Here is an 18,720-nt window from a genome sequence, read left to right as displayed (position 1 = left end):
ACCTCCCAGGGACCAGGAAGCAACAGTCTTAGCTGCCCTCTCCCACCTAAATTGGGTCCTCTTCGCATTTCCTGTCTGTTCCAGGGATTTACTTCTTAGAAGACATTTAAGGGGTCTGTTCCAGGAAGAGCTATCTATGGCTGTCATCTGTGGACATGGGGTCAGTCTGTCTGTCTTTGGGAATGGACCCTGGATTCCTAATTCATTTTGAGATGGCTGTAGGCACAATAATCAGTTTCTACTGCATATGGGGTCTTCAGATGAATTAAATGGTTTAAAAAGTAAGGTATTTTTTCAAAATTGTGGTTGACATAGCATTTAAAAAGCTTTGAACAATTTTGATAATTCCTGTCTAGCAATTCCCTGCCAGTTGTTTTTATACAGAGTAGTTCTTAATGACTTTGGTAGTTTTTTAAATGGTTCCTGTCAAAAGAGTTTAAAAAATACTAGTCTCTTTCCTCTCTGCTCTAGATTCATACATCTCCCTTGGGGACCAAAGACTAAAATCTATTTCAATAACAACTTTTCTTTTTCTCTAGCAAGAATATCTGCTTGCTGTTGCTGGGTTCAGAGGTTGATGTGAATTTTTTAGGATAGCATATTACACTGTGATGTGTGTTTTGGAAAAGCAAAGCCCAAAAACGGAATTCCTGGCAAATGGAAACAAAGGTCATGGTGTGAAGGAAAACCGACGTCCAGTGGAGTCGACGCCTGGAGCCACAGCGGCCTTGGATGTTTGCGTTTTTAAAAACACACCAGTGTTTTCCATGTCGTTTTCAGAAAAGCGGTGTGGCGCGTAGACTTCGTTATGAACTTATTTTAAATTATCCCTTCCAGGGTTCTCGGACCAGCAGTGACCTTCAAAGTGAGCGCCAATGTCCAAAACGTGACCACTGAGGATGTGGAGAAGGCCACAGGTGAGGCTGTTTCCACACACACGTACACGCACACACACGTGTGTGCACACACACACGCACGCAAACACGCACATGCACAGCCAGGGCAGAGAGAGACTCACACTACCCACATGGGGCAACCCAGAGGAAGGTCTCGGTTTCCGTGGAAATCTGGTGTGCAGTGAGGGGACGAGGGGCAGTCACAGGGCAATGTGGCTGTCCGTGGGCACCATCTGGGATTTCACTGTGTGGAGAGGGACTGGGCTGCCCTGATGTGTGGAACTGGCTCAGATAGAAGGCAGGAGACACAGGGCTGCAAGTGACCGAGAACAAATCCGGCTTTTGGAAAAGCAAGATTTGGTGTTTGTAGTAATCCCAGTGTGTGCAGAGCACGTGCAATTTTGCTTTGAGGTTTTTCATTTTGTACCAGACCAGGAGCACACACCGGCCCTGCTCCCGACTGCGGTGGGCAGAGACACCACAAAGTATCTGGGAGGTTTCAGTAAAAACCGGCCGACTTCCAGACGGTTTCACTGTTTAGAGCCCAGGGTTCTGGGCATTGCGAATCACACATTTTTGAGATGTACTTACAGATAGAGCTTGAGTAATCTTTGTTATATGATTAATAATTGTCATTGAGTGAAAAACACAAAGCTTTACTCTCCAGAGTCTTGAAGAACAGAATGGGATGGTGGACACAATGTTGCATTTTCCTCAACCTGCCTTTTTTTTTTTTTTTAAACTTGTTGAAAACTCTTGTAGAGTGTATTGTTTAATCTTCCTGCCTAGTAAGAAAAATACAGGAAGCATAACAGAACCTTAGCCTGATGGTTTTCAGTGCATTAGGGCCATTCCGCAGGCAGGGTGCTCCCGTTCCGTATCATTGATAAGACAGGACGGAACACACTGACCCAGCCACAGCGGGAAATGACACTTGGTTTTAGCCAGTCCTTTATATTGCTAAATCTATGAACTTGTTTTTTTTTTTTTTTTTTTTTTTTTTTGCTTAAATTTGTGTCTTTTTTTCCCAGTGTAAAATGCAGCAAAATACTCTGGTTTATTTCGGGATTTCAATACTTAGTTCTCGTTGATTGAGGCGTCACTGTACTGGCACCCTGTAAACTTGAAGTTTCTTTTTCCAGTGAGAGTAATCAAGGTGTGAAGTAGCCACCATGTTCTAAGGGATGGAGCGAATTGCTGGTCCTATCTGTTTTGGCTGCTGCGGGTTTTGCTTATGGGATATCCTCGTGCCCTCAGTAACTCCTTTGCTCAAGGTGGTGATTTAGGGGGCTGAGAATTTGTGGTTGAAATACAGTGCTTTGCAAAGTTGTACTAAACTTCTGCAGTCTGATTTAAGGTTTGTGGAGACTTGAGTCCCCAGTCTCACTTTGTTGCCATACTTTGCTGTGAGGCTTGTGGAGCTGGGGTACAACTCGGAAAAGCAGCCCAGCATCCTCACTCCAGCTGGGCGGTCCAGTGCGGTCCCAGCATGAAAAGTCAGTGGGATCCATACCAAACACTCCCACGCAAGAGGAATGGGGGGTCCCAACAACGGCTTCAGTGCCTCGTGGCTGCCAGAGCTCCCTCCCTCCATGGCATCTGTTTCGCTTGCTCTAGTTCCCTGTCAGAAGTGATTATTGGAGATATTTAAGACCAAATCCGTGATCAGGTATTATGCAGAAATGCATTGATAATTATCCCATGATTGGCAGTTTCTCCAGTACTGGGGAGCAATGCCACTGGAATTAGGTTTGCAGGACCTCAAGGATGCTAGGAATGGCAATCTTGTTATATTTTTAAAAATCATAACAATATACTCACAGACAAGGACCTTTGATTTATTTTATGGCTCTCTAGAGAAAATGAGGTTGATTATTTGAAAGCTAGTTTCTCAGTCATTTCAAATGTGTTCATGTTATTTATCGAAGTGCTGCACCAAGGGGGAGCCACATAGGAAATGTACATTTGAGTCTCATATTGACAACTTTCTAAACACCTGAATTTGCTAACTTGCACCAGTGCCTCCATGTTAACTCCTGTGGCTGTGTGAGTCAGAATGTTTCTTGCTTCTTGAACGTGTGCAAAATTGTTTACATTCATGCATGATTTTTAAAGAATTATTTTGAATAATTCTATGGTGTCATGAACGTGCCTGATGCTATATAAGAAACAGATTGGCCGGGTGCAGTGGCTCACACCTGTAAACCCAGCATTTTAGGAGGCCAAGGTGGGCGGGTCACTTGAGGTTGGGAGTTCAAGACCAGACTGACCAATATGGTGAAACCCCATCTCTACTAAAAATACAAAAAAATTAGCTGGGTGTGGTGGCTCAAACCTCAGCTACTCGGGAGGCTGAGGTGGGAGAATCACTTAAACCCAAGAGGCAGAGGTTGCAGTGAGCCAAGATTGCATCACTGGACTCCAGCCTGGGCCACAGAGGGAGACCCTGTCTCACAAACAAACAAAGAAACAAAAAAAACCCAAGAGATTATAAAAAAGAATTTTGTGACTGTGAAGATCTTGCAGGTAGGCAGTGGACATGCCCATGTGTGGTGACTGGCCCATCGGCCTCAGGAGAGCGCTTAGCACGGTTGGTGACTGGTGACTCGCCCATTGGCCTTGGGAGAGTGCTTAGCACAGTGACTGGCCCATCAGCCTCGGGAGAGCGCTTAGCACGGTGACTGGCCCATTGGCCTTGGGAGAGTGCTTAGCACGGTGAAGAGGAGCCTCTTACTGAGTTTCAGGTGAGACGTAGACAGGCTGACATGATAGCAGGGAAGAATTTCAAATTCAAAAGGAGTTTCTTATGGTTTGTGTTTTAAAAGATGATGTGGAATCCTAATAGTGTCATCACAAACGCCCTGTGGTGATGGGCGGACACCTATGGAAGGACGTGTGGTGGTGCCTGTGTTACCAACATACAGAACTCAAGAGCCTGCTGTTGAAATTACTGGGAGTGCTGGGTGCTGCCTGCACCTGCCACCTGCCAGCTGCCTGGAAGCCCAATGGCTGCTGGCGTCTGGTTCCCTCAAGGGCCTGAGGACCTGAGGCTGCTGTTATTAATGCGGGGAGATCACCCTGGCGGTAGAATTCAAAGGGCATTCATTTTGCTAATTTTATACAAAATGATACAAAACCTAATGAATAGGCGTGTAGTTAATCCCACATTAGTCCCCATCAAACGTCACGTGGTATTGATGCCGAATGAGAAGGGCAGCTGCTTTCCATTACTCAGCGTCTCCTCTTTATCGTAGGCAATGCTTTCCCGGGAATTCTGCTAATTTATGACCTTGGGTATGAGCACAGGGTATTAGTGAATATTAAAAATAAGTGGGTTTTGCTCAAGGAGGCACTTACTCTACCACAAAGTACATAGAAATGACTGGTAGCTACGTTTAATCTCCGTGGCTCAGTCACATAGTTGAACTGGCAGAAGAGAAAAATCCTTTTTATTCTTCATTTCCTTGGTAGTTTCTTCTTAAATAGTATATTTCTGATCAATTTTTGTATTGCTCCTTTCAAAGAAAAGGAAATTCATCATCCTTTAGAAACTGTTTGCTTTTGCTGGCTCCCAGTCTGCAGAGACCCTCACCCGGTGGCCTGTGGGGCTGCCTGTGGTTTATGAGCTTATTGCCAGGAATCCCCTCCCATGCTCGGCCGTTTCCTTCAGGCCGAGTTCAGGCTGTTTCTTCAAACATTCCCTCTCGGGCGCCACGGAGGGTGTGTCTCTGGCACTCAGCCCTGTGTGGTGGGGGTGTGGCTCATAGGGGGCTCCTGTGCTGACCCTGAATGGTGGGGTGAGGCTCATGGGGGGCTCCTGTCCTGAGCAGTTTCCCCCTTTGACCTCAGCATCCTCCACCTGACAGCCTCTAAGACACGGCATTCAGCTGCCATTGTTTCTTTCAGCCTGTTGGAGAGGCGCCCCGTGTCATTTCAGTAGCGGCGCCTCTGTATTCAGAGGTACGGTGACTTTCCGTGACGTCCTCCTGCTTCTGCCTGTTCGGCATCTTTGTGAAGCTGGTGAGTGTCAGAACAGGGTCGTGTCTGCTGTGCTGCTGTCTGTGTTTCACGTCTCATATGTAGCGGGTCCACATGGAGGAAGAGGCTCCCCTCCTCTCTTGTGAGCCTCTCTTGAATCCCGGCTCAGAACTGGACTCTGTGCCGATGCCTGGACCCCATAGCCCGCAGCGTTCTGCGTTAGTCACAGGCCTCTCTGCTGGAGCAAGGGCTGCCCAGGCTTCTGGCCTCTCATAAAGCAGACAAACGTGCTTATTTTGAAAAGCGTAATGGCAAAGTGAAGTGAATTCCTTTATAACACATACTTACAATCCAGCCAGCCTTAACTATCGACCCCAGGCAGGCATCGGTGCTTCACAGTCTGGTCCGCTCCGTGCGGATTCTGTCTTCGGCAATGCATCACACCTTCCTAAGGTGATATCACTCTGGATGTCAGTGGCCCTGCCCTCCAGAAGCTCCCCCCAACCCCGGTGCCAGGGCTGTTCAGACGGGAGTTCTTAGGGGCAGTGGATGGCACATCGGGGAGGGCAGGGCAGGGCTTAGATGAGGCTCCACAGAGAAGCTGGCCTTTGGGCAGAGCACAGGGACTAGCGTGGGTCTCAGGGGCTGAAGGTGAGAGGAATGAGAATGGTGCAGCCTGGATGTGGGGTCCAGTGTGCCAAGGACATGCCAGTAAGAGGCTGGCAAGGTGGAATTCAGAATCGGACTTCATAGTGTGGGAACTTCATCTTCAGCAGCCACTAAGAAGGACTTGGGCCTGAGTTTCACTGCAGCTGATGGAATCAGCTCCGCTGAGGTGGACACAGGCAGGTTGGCCCCGGGGGAGGGGGAGGGGTGCCTTGCTGCTGCAGCATTGGTCCACAAGCGGCAGACGTTCCTCATCTGACTCCCATGCACCAGCTCCCCAGGGAGGCCACGCCAGGTGGAGCTGCATGCTGGTCACCAGCAGTGGGGCCTAAAGCCATCCACGCTCCCACACACCCACTCCCCAGGGAGGCCAGGCCGGGTGGAGCTGTGCACTGGTGGGGCCCGAAGCCCATCCGTGCTCCGGTACCACCCTCATGATTAAGAGATTGGAGCAAGACAAGAGGAACTCCTGAGCCATGAGTGTGGAAGGGAAGTTGCACTCTTATTAGAAATGAAGGAGGATGCTTTGGAAATGTTCAAAACAGCCACTTGCTGAGAAAATTGCCTCCATGTGCAGGTGAATGAGACACCTGTCAGACTGATGAAAGTGACTCTCCAAGGACCTGCACTCTCCTCAAGGGTCTTCCAGGCACAGGGATCCCAGCGCTCCCCTTCGCCAGACCTCCAGGGTGCAGCTGAGAAACAGCGCCAGAGCAGTGAGACTGGAGGTGTGGCCTGGGCAGCCCGGCTCCAGGTTCCGCTGCACGTGGGCCGCTGTGTCACGTCCTCCATGGAGCTGAGCTGCTGCCAGGATCAACGCAGGCTGGGGGCTCCTGGGCTCCAGCTGTGGCTGGCGTGGGGCTCGTGCTCATCCTGCTGCTCCGCAGCCATGAGGTTGACGATCCCACAGCTCGCCTGGCTGAGGTGTCACCCAGAGTGGGCGAGGGAGATGCTCAGAGGGAAGCACCACGCTCTCCTCCTGCTCTTAGAACATCCCTGACTCACGGCACAGACACAGACGATGAGGAGTAACTAAAAAGAGGAGCCTCTAAGAGAAAAAGATGAAGAAGTGGAGGGCGCGGCGTGGGAAGCGTGGGCCGGTGGTGCTGGTGGGGTCTGCACAGTGGGCCCCGCAGGCTCAGTGCCCGTCTCCTGCTGGACCTGCTGCGTTGGGGGCGGGGAGGGGGCCTGCAGTGTGTGAACCAGCCCCAGCTTGTGTCCAGGGCCACGTGGGCTGGACATGGAACAAGAACTCCCACCTGCACGGGAGCGCCTCCCCTGGGCTGCCGGAGAGACCAGCAGACAGGAACATTGGTAAGGACTATGGCGAGGTTCTGCTGCCAAAGAGCAGGTGCCCTGTGGCTGCAGCCCCAGGAGGTTGTAAACAAGTTTCGGTTTGGATGGAGGCTTTAGGGAATCGGAGATGGTAGGAGCTGCACCCCATGACTCCATTCTGAACAGCCAGGTAATTACTTCTGGCATTTTGACAAGTGTTTGCAGGAGTGGAGCTCAGGGCTGGCAGCACCCAGGACCTGTGCTGACCTTCCCGGCTGCGAGGACAGAGGCCACCCATGGCTCTGTAATTACAAGTCCCGAAAGCCGCCTTCATCATGGCTTTACCCTGAGCGCAGACAACACAACGCTGTGGTAGAAAATAATTGCATCGCCATCGACAGGGCTACCAGCGTGGAACGCCAGGAGCCGCATGTGGGGGACACTCGGGGATACTGCTAAACCAAGGGCTAGGAAACTGCGTTGCTCAGCAGCCACTTTTCTGTGTTTATTTTTACACAGAGGGGGTTTATGCACTGGACATACCACTCATGGGAGCAGCTCGTTCTCACCTGCAAATGAACGAGCAATGCTGATCCTGCTGGCAGAGGGTGCTGCCTTGTCCCCTCCGACTCACTGCTGGGGAGCACCTGGCCCCCCTCCAACTCACTGCTGGGGAGAGCAGGTTCCATTTCATCCTCACTTTCACGTTCATTTAGAATTCATACCCTGATCAGGGAGAAGAGCCCCCAGGGCCTCCAGCTTCCCCTCCACCTCGGGAGCCACGTCGGCACGTCTACTGCGAGGGGCTGACTGTCACAGGTGGCCACGGGAGCTCACCCCTAGTTGGCTGGGGTTTGGGAGCAGCCTAGATAAACACCCATAGAAATGCCACTAAGACCTTTTCATGCCAAAAGTTGTAAAACCCGCTTCTGAAAAACATGAGTGAGAGTTTTGAAGTGCGTGGGATTCTCTGCAGGCTTTCACATGTGCAGGAGGCTTCCGTGGCCAGAGGACCTGTTAGAAACACAGTGAATCACCACCACCTCCCTGCGCCTTCTGTTGCCTGGGAAGCTGCCGAGGGGGTCTCAGCTGTTCTCTCCACGGAACGCCCAGCCTCCCAGCAGAGGGATCGTCGGCAGGAGGCTGTGATGCTGGTGCAGTCGGCTGCCGGGGCAGGTGAAATCCAGCAGAAGGCCCTGTACCCTGGATGTGCAGGAGGGGGTTTTGCTGACGGTGTGACGGTCATGGAGCACACTGTGGGCGTCGCTGAGTTTCCCAAGTATTACTCTTCCCTGCACATGGGTTTCTGTCTTCACTGCCCCAGGCCCCGTGGGGTTAGAGACTGACGGGAGGACGGCAGGATGGCTGGCGGCTGTGGCCAGGACACGTATGTCCTCCTGTGGTAGCCGTCCTAGCCCACTGGAGATGAGCTGTGCTGGAGGGGAGTCCCAGGGGAGCCGCGTCTGCTGGTGAAGATGCCGCTGGGCTGTGGGCCTGGGGGACGAGGCCTCAGGTTTTGCTGGAGGAGCCTGCTGTCCACTTGGCTCTCTGTTTTGCTGTGTTGAAGCCCTGGTCCTTCCATGATGCGAGGCTGCCATGCCTGTTTTCACAGCCTTTTCTTTTCCTCTTTGTCCATAAGCGAATGCTGTTTCCACTCTTTCCCTCACCTCTGAATAGAAAGGGCAGTGTCTTCATACCTTAGTAGGAAGCGGCCTCATCTCCGCATAGAAAGGGTAGTGTCTTTATACCTTAGTAGGAAGCGGCCTCATCTCCGCATAGAAAGGGCAGTGTCTTCATACCTTAGTAGGAAGCGGCTTCATCTCCGCATAGAAAGGGTAGTGTCTTTATACCGGAGCAGAAAGTGGCTCATTTTAAATCAGGGCTGTGTTCTGCAGGGCAGCTGGGCAGGGCATAGCTTTGAGACCTGAAGGAGGAAAGCAAGGGGTGCCCGAGGAAGGTGCACTTGGAGCCTGCAGGGAGAGGCCAGTGCGGCCCTGAAGCCAACGCATGGGCCCACACCCTCCCCCGGGCACCTGGAGACACAACTTCCAGCCAGCACACAGGTGCCCACCATGCTCCTTCCTCCTGCAGCCGCGGCTCACAGGCTGTCTCTGAGCTGAGGGGAGGCCGATGTCTGCCAGAAGCCACTTCTTGGGAGTTCTTCTACCAATATCAGTTCCCATGGCAACTCGACAGAAGCAGTAGGGGCAGAGGAGCCGAGATGGTTCTGAGTGCAAAGATGGTGCTGAGTGCAAAGGTGGTGCTGAGTGCAAAGGTGATGGAGAGTGCAAAGATGGTGCTGGGCACCTACCTCCCCAGCAGATCCTGCCTCAGCTACAGCCGAGCCACTGCCCTCTGTCCCTGGTGGTCGGCCCAGGAGTCCTGCCCTGTAGCTGCACCAGGTCACAAGCCTGGGCCATCTTGGGCAGGGCAGAGGGTTTCTCCTGCTCTGCCATACCTATGGGCCCCTTGGGACAAGCTCAGGTCTTGAGACATGAATTGTCCAAATATTATGACTTTTGAGAGACTCTGAAGGGCTCAATTATTTAAAAAATTATGTTCCGCCAGCCCGTTGGCATCTGAAACTCTCCCTTGTTGTCTCCTTGTGCTTTGGGGACCCTACAGGGCTACACAGCAGCTGGAGTGTGTGGCACAAACCCCTTGGCAGTTGGTGTCCCCTGTGAGTGCACAGTTGATCAGACTAACACAGAGTCACCTTGGTGAGCCCAGGAAAGTTCCTCCTGACACCAGGACTCCGGAGAAGCAGCTCTTGGTTGGAAGGCAGGGGAGGTTCAGTGAAGTCCGAGAGCTGCCTGGGATGGGTAGGGAGGGGTCCCTGAGCACTTGGGACCAGCATGAGGCTATTCAGCACTTGGGAAACAATTGCTCAGAAGCTTGTCTGCTGGGGACGCTTGTCACAGGCAGGTCTTACCTGGTCAACACCTGCCCAAGGCCCCTGGGCTCTCAGGCCTTGCATCTGATTCTTTGCACTTTTCCTCCCAGCACGGGAATGCCAAAGCTCTGAAGGCCCATTCTTGAAAATTTACATGATGATTCACACGGCAAGGCTGGCATCTGAGTCCCCTGGCCCTGTAATCGTTCTTAATAAGGAGGGCACTGCACACCATCAGGCCTCGGACTTATCGGCCAGGACAGCATTCTACGTATTTGCATTATTGGACAAGAGTCCTTGGGTGAGGATGAGTGGGTTAAATGCACGCTGGTCAGCAGAACCAAAAGGTTCAACTGAATGGCATTTAGATCCTACATGAGCACCTCCACCACCATGAGCACCTCCATACTACGAGCACCTCCACCACCACGAGCACCTCCACCACCACGGGAACCTCCACCACCACGAGCACCTCCACCATGAGCACCTCCATACGACGAGCACCTCCACCACCACGAGCACCTCCACCACGGGCACCTCCATACGACGAGCACCTCCACCAGGAGCACCTCCACCACCAGGAGCACCTCCACCACAAGCACCTCCACCAGGAGCACCTCCACCATGAGCACCTCCATATGACGAGCACCTCCACCACCACGAGCACCTCCACCACGGGCACCTCCATACGACGAGCACCTCCACCAGGAGCACCTCCACCACCACAAGCACCTCCATCACCACGAGCACCTCCACCATGAGCACCTCCACCACCACGAGCACCTCCACCACCAGGAGCACCTCCACCACAAGCACCTCCACCAGGAGCACCTCCACCACCACGAGCACCTCCATCACCACGAGCATCTCCACCACCACGAGCACCTCCACCACGAGCACCTCCACCAGGAGCACCTCCACCAGGAGCACCTCCACCAGGAGCACCTCCACCACCAGGAGCACCTCCATCATCACGAGCATCTCCACCACCACGAGCATCTCCACCAGGAGCACCTGCACCATGAGAACCTCCACCACCACGAGCACCTCAACCACGAGCACCTCCACCACCACGAGCACCTCCACCACCAGGAGCAACTCCACCACGAGCACCTCCACCACGAGCACCTCCACCACCATGAGCACCTCCACCACCACGAGCACCTCCACCACCATGGGCACCTCCACTACCATGGGCACCTCCACCACGAGCACCTCCACCACCACGGGCACCTCCACCACCACGGGCACCTCCATACTACGAGCACCTCCACCACCACGGGCACCTCCACCACCACGAGCACCTCCACCACCATGAGCACCTCCATACTAAGAGCACCTCCACCACGAGCACCTCCACCACCACGAGCACCTCCACCACCACGGGCACCTCCACCACCACGAGCACCTCCACCACCACGGGCACCTCCACCACCACGAGCACCTCCACCACCATGAGCACCTCCATACTAAGAGCACCTCCACCACGAGCACCTCCACCACCATGAGCACCTCCACCACCACGGGCACCTCCACCGTGAGCACCTCCACCACCACGGGCACCTCCACCACCAGGAGCACCTCCAGCACCATGGGCACCTCCACTACCATGGGCACCTCCACCACCATGGGCACCACCACCACCACGGGCACCTCCATACCACCATGGGCACCTCCACCACCACGGGCACCTTCACCACCACGGGCACCTCCACCACCACGGGCACCTCCACCATGAGCACCTCCACCACCACGGGCACCTCCACCACCACGGGCACCTCCACACCACAGGCACCTCCGCCACCAGGGGCACCTCCGCCACCACGGGCACCTCCACCACCAGGAGCACCTCCACCACCATGGGCACCTCCACCACCAGGGGCACCTCCACCACCAGGAGCACCTCCACCACAGGCACCTCCACCACCACGGGCACCTCCACCACCACCATGGGCACCTCCACCACCAGGAGCACCTCCACCACCAGGAGCACCTCCACCACCACGGGCACCTCCACCACCAGGAGCACCTCCACCACCACGGGCACCTCCACCACCACGGGCACCTCCACCACCACGAGCACCACCACCACGAGCACGTCCACCACCACGAGCACCTCCACCACCACGGGCACCTCCACCACCAGGGGCACCTCCACCACCACGGGCACCTCCACACCACGAGCACCTCCACCACCAGGAGCACCTCCACCACCACGAGCACCTCCACCATGAGCACCTCCATCACCATGAGCACCTCTACAGCAGTTGGCTGCTTACCTACTGAAGCTGAGGGCAATGGAGCCTCCTTACTCTAGGTCAGTCCCTGCTTTTGGATGTCTGCTGTGTTGGCCATAGTGCAGTGCCCCATGGATTAGGCACCAATCTAGGTCAGGTATCAGCCTCTCCAGCCCTGCCTGGATGTTCTGTGCCACTTCATGGCACCTGAGGTTGGCAAAATGGAAGAAGGAAAAACAAGAGCTTGGAGTTTAGAACTTGAGTTCACAGCACCCTCCCAGCTATTTGCTTGTTTTGTGACTTTGGACGACTCATTGACTGTTTTCAAACCTCAGGGTGCCTTCTCTGTCAGCTAGGGCCAATAGTTACACTCCGCGAGGCTGCATTCAGATCAAATGAAGTGGGAATAATTTGATGTGAGAGCAAAATGTAAAGTCTGAGCAGTTTATAAGTTGTTGGTTGCCATTGCTCACTCAAGATGTCCATTGGCCTTGCGTGCCTGGGCATCCCACGAATGCCTGGAGTGGGAAAGATGCCATGGCAAATCCTCATGAAGTACTCTCTTTTCAGTAGTGTTCTTTACTTGGCTACAAGCAGACAGTAAGATGTCATGGGGTTAGAAGAATAGCAACAATTGTGGGTAAAGAATGGAGGAGGTGGGGCGTGGTGGCCATGCCTGTCATCCCAGCACTTTGGGGGTTAAGAATGGAGGAGGTGGGGCGTGGCGGCCGAGCCTGTCATCTCAGCACTTTGGGGGGTAAAGAATGGAGAAGGTGGGGGTGTGGTGGCCATGCCTGTCATCCCAGCACTTTGGGAGGCCAAGGCAGGAGCATCACTTACCAGGAGTTTGAGACCAGGCTGGGCAACATAGTGAGACCCCATCTCCACAAAAATATTTAAAAATTTAGCCAAGCGTGGTGATGTACCTGTAAGTCCCACACAGGAGGTTGAGGTGGGAGGATCTCTTGAGCCCAGGAGTTCCAGGCTGCAGTGATCTGTCACAACCATGGTCACAACCATGCCACTGCCCCTGAGCTTGGGTGATAGAGCGTGACCCTATCTCTAAAAATTTTGTTTAAAAAGAATGGGAGAGGATCTTGAGCTGATAAGACCCACCGTGTCAGGCACTAAGACATCTTCTTGCAGTGCTGCTCACTCCTCCCTGGACTGTCTTCAGTGTCAAGATGAGGCCGCTTCACTAACGAGATGCGATGATTCGTATGATGCAAAGCCCACGGCTTACAGAGAGCACGTGAAGATGGTGTCGGCAGCAGGGTTATCACATCCTCTGGCAGGCAGCTTGGGAAGGGAAGTTTCAATCTGTGTTGATATTTTAGCACTGATTAAAGGTGGATGTACAATTAGACCTTTTAAATTTAAAGACAGTTTGCACTCTATCAACACCTTGTCTTATTACAGTTGTAATCCATGAGAAAGCAAGTTAAGAATGAGAAGTCATGGGCAAAAGTAATTACACAATTTCCTCATGTGGTATAAAATGGTACAAATTGAAAATCCCATCAGCTTCACAGCCCTTGACCGACCAAAATGACATCCCCCAATGAATGCTGGTGGCAGGAGCTTAAGGTGCTTCCTGCTTAGAGAGATCTGCATTTCTGTTTAGAATGAAGCAGGTGTAGATACCTTAGTTCACAGTGATGATTTGGGCTGAGTGCTCACATTCAATAGGCACCCGGTTCCAGTGGTTTGCGGGGTTTGATGATGCATTTTTAAAGTGAAGCCGTACCAATGCAGGCCCATGCTTCCCTGAGGACGCGGCCTCCGTTCTGCTGAGTGCAAAGGTGGTGCCGAGTGCAAAGGTGGTGCTGGGCACCCACCTCCTCAGCAGCTCCTGCCCCAGCTGCAGTCCAGCCACTGCACTGGGTCCCTAATGGTCCTGGCGTGGGAGCTGTGGCCTGGGCCTCCTGTGCACTGCACCGTACCCTCGGCTGCCATGAGCACGGGCACCCCACGGGGACAGCAAGCTCAGCACCCAGTGGGCCTGATCAGACAGCCACCTGCGTCGTTTCATGGCTTTCTCCTTCATGTTGAAGGAGTGACAGGGACACTGAGGGATGAAGTCCCCACGCTCTGGCCTGCTCTGCTCAGTCAGGGCCGCTGGCATGGGCCGTTCTTCCCCTGGGACTGCACAGCCTGGACCCCCACCAAGTCCTGTTGCCCACCCTGGCTCAGCTCTCCTCCAGCCCAGCATGCCTGCCTTCCTCCCTCCTTTCCCCATACCCGGTCCTGCCATCTCCCAGCTGCAAGGTCCATGCCACCCCACAGGAAGAGCCTCAGCGGCTGTCCTCAGACCCCACCCTGTCTGCCCCGACCCTGCCGCCTCACCAAATTCTAAGCACACCATGACCCGGCCTGCCCTGGTGTGCTGCCCATGGCCCGGCGTGACCCAGTGTGCTGCCCATGGCCCAGCGTGACCCAGTGTGCTGCCCACGGCCCAGCCTGACCCGACCCGGTGTGCTGCCCGCGGCCCGGCCTGACCCGGTGTGCTGCTCTGGGAAGGAAGCCTGGTGGGAACAGTGCTCACTCACTCACTCTGTCACTCGCTCACTCCTTCACGCCTTGTCTCTGGCAGCTTTCGCCACAGGCAGAGCTGCGTGGTCACGGTGGACTGCCCGACCCACAAAGCCTCCGACACTCACTCTCCAGCCCGTTACAGAAACCTTTTCTCAAGATTGTAGAACAGCAGTTCTGCAAACGGGGCCCCTGAGCACCAGCTGGAGGTCGTTAAAAACGCAGACTCTTGGGCCCCACCCCAGAGGTTCAGAACATGTCCTGGAGGCAAGGCCAGCAAGCCATTGGGAGCAGCCCCCAGGGACCTCAATGGCACTGGAGCCGAGTACCACTCACAGCTGCAGTCCAAGAGCTCCTGAAGACAAACCCCTGCCCCCTGCCAGCTGGGAGCTCCTCCACAGTAGACACTCAGCAAATGCCTGCTGGCCGGAGCAGCGGCAGGGAAGGTAGACGACTGCAAGGCATTGGAAACGGCCCCTCTGCATCAGGAGACACCCTGGGTGCAGGAGGAGGCTTCGCTGAAAAGCATTGCAACAGCATTATCACATACGTGGAAATAAGAATTGCATCTCAACCCTTCCCTTGCCCTCCACCCATCTAACATGCCTCAGCCCTCCTGTGGCCATAGTAACCTGAACAGTAACTACAGCAGCAGGCTGCTTAGGTGCCAGGTGTAAGAAGAGAAATTTCATGAAAACAGGAAAATATAGCCTGCTTTTCTCCCCAGCTCTAACCTTTCAACCTATAACTACTCCCTACTGTAATTTTTGTGGGATTTGCTGATATTGAAGGAAGATGATTGAAAATCTGCTTAAGATTTCGTCTTTATTTCCCGCTTGACAGGCCTAGGGCCCCACTGAGGAAGTGTTTCTCTCTGCAGAGCCCTCAGCCACCCCATATGTCCCAGGGATGTGCTCAAGTCACGAGGACCAGTCCTTTGTGTCACATCCTGAGGTCCAGAGTCACCTGCCAGCCTTGCCGTCTGCTTGGCATTATTAATTTTCCCATAAAGTATACAATCTGGGTAAGGATGTATTCGTAAGGGACTTCACCAGGTGAGAGTCACCACAACTCAGGTGTCAGGTGTGTGTTTTCTAAAGCCGATCTTAGCGTTAACGTTCTCCTGTAGGGAAAACTACTTTCTGTCTCTCTACAGTGCCTGGTTTTGGAATTTCTCCACGGTGTTTTGTAAATGTCTTGTGACACCAGCTGAAAAGGCTGTGTTCCTTTGAGCACTCAGAGCCCTTCCATACTGAGGAGTTGGGAGGTGGTTGAAGGAAAGGAAGCAGCACAGCTTAGAGCACATTCTGTGGCAAAACTGCCAGAGAGAGCCTGGGGTAGCCATGCTGCAGGTCAGTGTGCCTGTCGGCCCTGGCCCTGAGCCTGGCAGCCCATATTTAGAGCCTCATTTCATCCTGGAGCCAGAAGGGTGGCTGTTTGCAGAGAAGGCCTTGAATGGAGGGGACTCATCCACCTCATGGAAGGTGCCATCCCAGGCTGGTGGTTGGGAACGGAGAGGGAGGCAGAGGGGGCACACCATCTTGCTGACGGAGTCTTATTTTTTGTGATGCCTCCGAGCCTCAAGACCCCCAAGCTCACAGCCATTCCTTGCTAGAGAAACAAAGCAGCATATTATGTGATTTTCAGAGGAAATAAATGGAAACATACAACGTCATGTCAGAGGGACGTGGGACACATAGGTAAACTGAGGCATGGAAAGAAAGCCCGTCCCTGTGTGAGGTTAGAGAGCCAGGGCAGGATCTTTCCCTGAACGAAACTCTTTGCATGCATTCCTGCCCATCCACCTCTTCCCTTTTAAAAACATTTTCTTCAAGAATTGAATGGCCACATAATTTCTTATTCTAAAATAAGACAGAAAGACAGTGCCATTCCCATGCTCTGGGGTAATTTCCATTTTAAATACGCAATTTCTCCTCTTTTAATAGAAGTCAGATTTCTTTTATCTGTAATTAAATCCAGAATATGGTTTTTTTTAAGGTCCTCGTGGAGTTTTGACTTTACTGTTCTGAAAATGAATAAGAGTTCTGAGCGTCAGTTTAGTGAACAACTCAACTCATTATCCGCTGGTTGTGAAATACAAAACCTTGGTCTGACCCGTGGGGGCCGTGTGGTGGTGGCAGCCCCTGCCCTCCCCCCGGGTCTGATGGCTCCATCTGCCCCGCCAGCCACTGTCTTTCTGGCCGCAGCCCGTTAGCCCAGGGCCCTTTCAGCACTGACCTGAGACTTGGCTCTGACTTGGTCAGATGACCATGTGAACACAGCTGCTTCTGGAGGCCCATATTCCGCAAACCATGCCCCTGCTCACTGCAGGATTCTGCACGTTGCATTTTGGAGTAAGTCTTCGGTAGACCTTACAGGACTCCCCCATGATCTTATGTCCTTGGTTTTCATGAAGGGTGCGAGGTAAGAAACTCATTGAGAAAACTCACCTGAAGCTGCTGAGGAGGCTCCGCCAAGTCTCTCAGCCAGGACACGCCTGAGTGCATCTTGGGGCCCATGACCAGGAGAGACGTTGGTGTTCCTGGTGAACTGCATGGTTCCTGCCACCAGACAGTCAGAGCCACTGCCATGTCAGGCGTTTCTCTCGTCCCGAGTCGGCAATCTCACTCCCAGATTTTGTGCTCACCTGCTTAGCTTCTCTCACCCAGAAGTATGCCAGATTACAGTCAATTACCAGATGCGCAGCACCATCTTTCTGCCTTTCTTCCCCTGGATTACTTGTTTCTCAGCCTTGGTCTTTATTAAGCTGAGTGTTTATGCCTGCGCTGCCTGCAGCCCCTTTGGAAGCAGGTGAAGCATCCATCATCCATAAAATTGGCCACTCTGTGCCCCATCCCCAGGAGGCCCTGGCACTCCTTTCCCCAGGGACACCCGACAGCCCAGCAGTCATCACAGAGCCACGCTGTGACTTGGAGGAGAATGGGGTTGAGCCAGGAGTCAGTTCTGTTGCGGGGAGGGTGACCCTTTCTCTTCCCTCCCCTGCAAGTAGAAAATGTCCCCCCCACCAGTCAGCTTCTGGAAATCACTGGCACAGGGGGGGCTTTGGTGAGTGGGAGATGACAGAGGCCCTGAGGAGAAGAAAAAGGAGCATCTGGGGAGGAAGGAGTCCTTGGCGTCCCTCAGACACAGTGTGTAGATGGCTCTCTTTTTAGCAGCCAGATTCCAGGAAACAGCTGGACAGGAAACCATGGGGCAGTGTCCGGCGTGACCAGTGTGTCCAAGCAACCTCACAGCGCTGGGCTCCCCAGGCTCCCCCGGCTCCCCCATGGCTGTGACCCCAGTCTCTGGCCCCACAGCTCCCTCATGCACCTCCCATGCTCTCCCGGGGGCTGTGGCTGTCCTGGGCATCTCGTCTTGGTCGTCTGGGTAACAGGTCCTGAGAGACGTCCCCAGGAGAATGCTGTGCATGTCCCGGGCTCTCCAGCTGCTTCTGAGCCCTGGACTTGGACACCCAGCACATGTTCAGGTTGCCAGAGTCAATGCGGTTAAACCCCAACTTGCTCGGGATGCCTGTTTGTTAGATGAACTATGTGGAATTCACCCCAGGTTTCTCTGTCCTCGTATGTGGGAAGGTTTGTACTTAGAGGCTGAGACCTCGTCGCCTCTAGCAGCAGGCACAGGCCCCTGCATGGCCACATTCTGCTGAGATGGTCCCTGCTGGTGGAATTGTGGTATCTCACTGAGCATGTGTGTTGTCTTGCTGTATGAGCCCGTGTCTCACTGTGTGTGTGAGTGATTGTATGTAGTGTGTGTCTCTCACTGAGTGTGTCTCACTTTCTGAGCACATACATATGTGTGTAAGTGTGTAGAATGGTCATTAGCTAATTGGTATTAGGTTTTGTCGTGGTTGCCTTCTGGAAACTCTGTAGGGCACCCCATTCCCTGACCTGCTGTGTCCAGAATGGGTGGGTTCTTGGTCTCACTGACTTCAAGAATAAAGCCACGGACCCTTGCAGTGAGTGTTACAGTTCTTAAAGGCGGTGTGTCCCGAGTTTGTTCCTTCTAATGTTTGGATGTATTCAGATTTTCTTCTTTCTGGTGGGTTCGTGGTCTCGCTGGCCTCAGGAGTGAAGCTGCAGACCTTCATGGTGAGTGTTACAGCTCATAAAGGCAGTGCAGACCCAAAGAGTGAGCAGCAGCAAGATTTACTGCAAAGAGCAGAAGAACAAAGCTTCCACAATGTGAAAGGGGACCCAAGTGGGTTGCCACTGCTGGCTCGGGC

At 53.5% G+C, this 18,720-nt stretch overlaps 1 protein-coding gene across 13 annotated transcripts in view, besides 2 other annotated features; it reads left to right on the top strand.

The window, feature by feature from the left end:
- PTPRN2 (protein tyrosine phosphatase receptor type N2) overlaps nt 1-18,720 on the top strand; it is a 1,048,768-nt gene that overhangs the window by 505,609 nt on the left and 524,439 nt on the right. For 10 of the 13 annotated variants that reach the window (XM_047420678.1, NM_130842.4, XM_047420679.1 and 7 more), the window contains one exon: nt 838-917. In XM_047420678.1, coding sequence (XP_047276634.1) covers nt 838-917 — 80 coding nt within the window. Of the gene's footprint in view, nt 1-837; nt 918-9,818; nt 13,321-14,538; nt 18,454-18,720 lie in introns of those variants that run through there. The other 3 variants (XM_011516447.3, XM_047420680.1, XM_011516448.4) reach the window with 3 other exon arrangements.
- Nucleotides 4,321-4,820: an enhancer, noted in NCBI's record as "H3K4me1 hESC enhancer chr7:157870087-157870586 (GRCh37/hg19 assembly coordinates)". NCBI's record gives its function as "activates a minimal SCP1, AML or CMV promoter by ChIP-STARR-seq in naive H9 embryonic stem cells {active_cell/tissue: H9 hESC(naive)}" and the evidence as "EXISTENCE:reporter gene assay evidence [ECO:0000049][PMID:30033119]".
- Nucleotides 14,393-15,346: an enhancer, noted in NCBI's record as "H3K27ac-H3K4me1 hESC enhancer chr7:157859561-157860514 (GRCh37/hg19 assembly coordinates)". NCBI's record gives its function as "activates a minimal SCP1, AML or CMV promoter by ChIP-STARR-seq in naive H9 embryonic stem cells {active_cell/tissue: H9 hESC(naive)}" and the evidence as "EXISTENCE:reporter gene assay evidence [ECO:0000049][PMID:30033119]".

This window comes from Homo sapiens, chromosome 7 (assembly GCF_000001405.40).
Source record: "Homo sapiens chromosome 7, GRCh38.p14 Primary Assembly".
NCBI lineage: Eukaryota > Metazoa > Chordata > Mammalia > Primates > Hominidae > Homo > Homo sapiens.
The sequence above is the reverse complement of the archived record's forward strand: the minus strand, read 5'-3'. Positions and strand labels throughout refer to the sequence as shown.